Source organism: Homo sapiens, chromosome X (genome assembly GCF_000001405.40).
Source record: "Homo sapiens chromosome X, GRCh38.p14 Primary Assembly".
NCBI lineage: Eukaryota > Metazoa > Chordata > Mammalia > Primates > Hominidae > Homo > Homo sapiens.
Genome location: NC_000023.11, coordinates 40,302,692 through 40,306,516, shown reverse-complemented (window position 1 = coordinate 40,306,516; position 3,825 = coordinate 40,302,692). Strand labels below are relative to the sequence as shown.

The window sequence follows — 3,825 nt, the reverse complement described above, 5'->3', positions numbered from 1 at the left end:
CCCTCAGAGGACTCCCCAGGAATAGATCATAATGACAATGGCACCCCCTGACTGAGCACATGCCACCTACCAGGACCTGCACTAAGCCCTGTACTTGCACTACTTCACTGAGTGCCCACCCCAACCCTGTTACTCTTCTGATTTATTTGTACAGAGAAGGAAACCAAGGCTCAGGAAGATGAAGTCCTTTGCCTGAGGTCACACAGCCACAGTAAAGGCAGGACTCAAACCCATGTCCTTCTCGCTGTTCAACACTGTGACATAATCCAACCAAAGTGATGCAGCTATGCATGGAATGAACAGGAAACTCAAAGACCAAAAGGGTCCCTTCCACTGTCACTAGGCCTTGCATTGTCAATCTGGGTGTGTCCTCAAGTGACTCTGCCAAAATCTCTCCAGGTAGAGGGTGGTCCTCATCCTGTCCCCGCCTCACCAGCTGGCATAGAGAGCTGCACCATTGTCTTTAAGAGATTCTCATGTATTTCTTCTAGTGGGAATGAGAAAAGGTGCAGCCACTGTGGAAAATGGCGTGGCAGTTCCTCAAAAAGTTAAACATAGAATTACCATATGATCCAGCAATGCCACTTCTGGGCATATATCCCAAAGAACTGAAAGCAGGGATTCCAACAGATATTTGTACACTCTTGTTCATAGCAGCCTTATTCATAATAGCCAAAAGGTGGAAGCAACCCAAATGTCCATAAACAAACAAAATGTGGTATACTCATACAATGGGCTATTAACCTTAAAAAGGAAGAAAATTCTGATACATGCTACAACATGGATGAACCTTCAAGACAGTATGCTAAGTGAAAGAAGCCATGGGCTGGGCGCCGTGGCTCACGCCTGTAATCCCAGCACTTTGGGAGGCTGAGGCAGGCAGATCACCTGAGGTAAGGAGCTGGAGACCAGCCTGGCCAACATCGCGAAACCCTGTCTTTACCAAAAAAATACAAAAATTACCCGGACATGGTGATGCGTGCCTGTAGTCCCAGCTACTCAGGAGGCAGAGGCAAGAGAATCACTTGAACCTGGGAGGGAGGTGCAGGTTGCAGTAAGCCAAGATTGCACCACTGCACTCCAGCCTGGGCACCACAGAGAGAGACTCCATCTCAAAAAAATGAAAGAAAGAAGCCAGACATGAAAGGACAAATACTGTATGATTCCACTTATATGAAATACCTAAGTAGTCAAGTAGACACGGAAAGTAGACTGGAGGCTACCAGAGCCTGGGGTAAGGGGGCAGCAGGGAGCTTCTGTTCAAAGGGTCCTGAGTTTCTGTTTGGGAAGATGACAAAGTCCTGGAAATGGATGGCGCTAATGGTTATAGAACAATGTGAATGTTTATGTTATATATATTTAACCAAGATTTAAAAATAGAGTTTTTTTATTGACACAGAGTCTTGCTCCGTCACTGAGGCTGGAGTGCAGTGGAGCAATCTTGGCTCACTGCAACCTCCGCCGCCTGGGTTCAAGCGATTCTTGTGCCTCAGCCTCCTGAGTAGCTGGGAACACAGGCACCCACCACCACACCCAGCTAATTTTTAAATATTTTTAGTAGAGATGGGGTTTCACCATGTTGCCCAGGCTGGTCTCGAACTCCTGACCTCGGGTGATCTGACCGCCTCGGCCTCCCAAAGTGCTACAATTACAGGTGTGAGCCACCACGCCCAGCCTAAAAGAAAGAGATTTTTTACTCTTCTACTACAACTAACACCAGAACCAATGTCCCAGCCAGCCCTTTCCTCATCCCTCTCTCCCTTTTCCTCTGAGCCTATGTCACGTGGACTGCAGCAAGATGGAGCCCCCAACGCCCGAGGGTGGGATTCAATTGGTCTCCCTTTGACTCTACTCATATCAGCGTCCTCCTTGGCCACAGGTGGGCCCAAGGCCCCTCTGGCACAGTGGTGTATACCTAGTGGGTCCTTGGAAAAATTGTGACAGACGTGGTAGGTGCCTAAGCATACACCCTAGGTACTCACTTTCATATCTCCAGCTGTTTGCATGGGGGTGGCCCTGGCTGCAGGGCAGGCTGGGAGGGCCAAGGAATCATCAACCCCAGGCAACAGCCCTTAACTCATGAGTGATGGGACAGGAGGATAAATGCCCCAGCCCCTCAAGTGAGACGACTCTGGGGCAAATTCCTTGCTGGTTCCCAGGGGACCCTGGCAGGATTAAGGCTGTTTCCCACCTGCCATTCACTCGCCCTCTACAGCTCTGCTTCCCTTCCTTATCTCTGTCCCCTGTGCCCCTGCTGGTGTCTCTGGGGATCATCCCTCAAATAAACTCCTTGCACTCAGGGTCTGCTTCTGGGGGAACCCACACTAGGAAGAAATACATCACAGAGAACATACCAGACTTGATCTGGTGAAATATCAGAAACCAGATACATGGTTGTTGACATGTGAAGCCTAGTGTATTAGTCCGTTTTCACACTGCTATAAAGGACTACCTGAGACTGAGTTAAACTTATGAAGAAGAGAGGTTTAATTGACTCACAGTTCTGCAGGCTTAACAGGAAGCATGCCTGGGAGGCCCCAGGAAACTTACAATCATGCCAGAAGGTGAAGGGGAAGTAAGCACATCTTACCATGGAGGAGCAGGAGAGAGAGAGAGAGAAAAGGGGGAAGTGCCACACACTTTCAAACAACCAGATCTCATGAGAACTCACCCACTATCATGAGAACAGCAAGGGGGAAGTCCGTCCCCATGATTCATGCACCTCTCACCAAGCCCCTTCCCTGACACGTGGGGATTACAATTCGACATGGGATTTGTATGGGGACACAGAGCCAAACCATATTACCTGGGCAGAGACTGCATCTTCAACTGCCATGGAAAAGGAGATGGGCATTTCTTCTCTTTCACTCTTTCTGTCTCTCACTCTCCTTTATCTCTTCAACTTCATCTCTGCCACCCCCTCCAGCACATTCCACAATACAATGTCCACTCATTCTCTGAATTACTTACAGTTCTCTGCTCTTTCAAGTCTCCATTCCTTTCCACAGGTAGTTTTCTCTGCTGAAATGACCTTTCCCCCTTTGTCCACCTGGAAAACTCCTATTCAGCCTTCAAAACCCAGGTCAGATATCCCTTCAGGAAGCCTTCCTTGACTCTTCCCATCCCAGGAAGCAATTTACTCCCTTCACCTGTCACCTCTGTGCTTCTTCACTTAGTGTTGTAATTGAATTTGTTTCCTGTCTCCAACACGACATCCTCCCCACAAACAACACAGTGAGTTCCTTGAATGAAGAGCCTGCTATATTTCTAGCATCTGGAACACACAATGCTTAGCACATATTAGAAACTCAGTGTTGAAATTTAATAATGCTTATTCCCTTTTTATTCTGCATGAGAAATTTGAAAAATGTGTATTAGAAAGGTAGTCCTTTTACATGCCTGTAATCCCAGCACTTTGGGAGGCTAAGGCAGGAGGATCACTTGAGGTCAGGAGTTCGAGACCAGCCTGGCCAACATGGTGAAATCCTGTCTCTACTAAAAATACCCAAAAAAAAAAAAAAAAAAAAAAATTAGCCTGGCATGGTGGCCGGTGCCTGTAATCCCAGCTACTCGGGAGGCTGAGACAAGAGAATCGCTTGAACCCAGGAGGCGGAGGTTGCAGTGAGCTGAGATCGCCCCACTGCACTCCAGCCTGGGCGACAGAGCAAGATTCTGTCTCAAAAAAAAAAAGAAAAGAAAAGAGAGAAAGAAAGGAAGGAAGGAAGGAAGGAAGGAAGGAAGGAAGGAAGGAAGGAAGGAAAGAAAGAAAGAAAGAAAGAAAGAAAGAAAAAAGAAAGAAAGAAAGAAAGAAAGAAAGAAAGAAAG

The 3,825-nt window shown here is 47.4% G+C and overlaps 1 annotated feature.

Moving 5' to 3' along the window:
- Nucleotides 2,536–2,715: an enhancer, noted in NCBI's record as "active region_29540". NCBI's record gives its function as "activates an Ori minimal core promoter by ATAC-STARR-seq in GM12878 lymphoblastoid cells {active_cell/tissue: GM12878}" and the evidence as "EXISTENCE:reporter gene assay evidence [ECO:0000049][PMID:35858748]".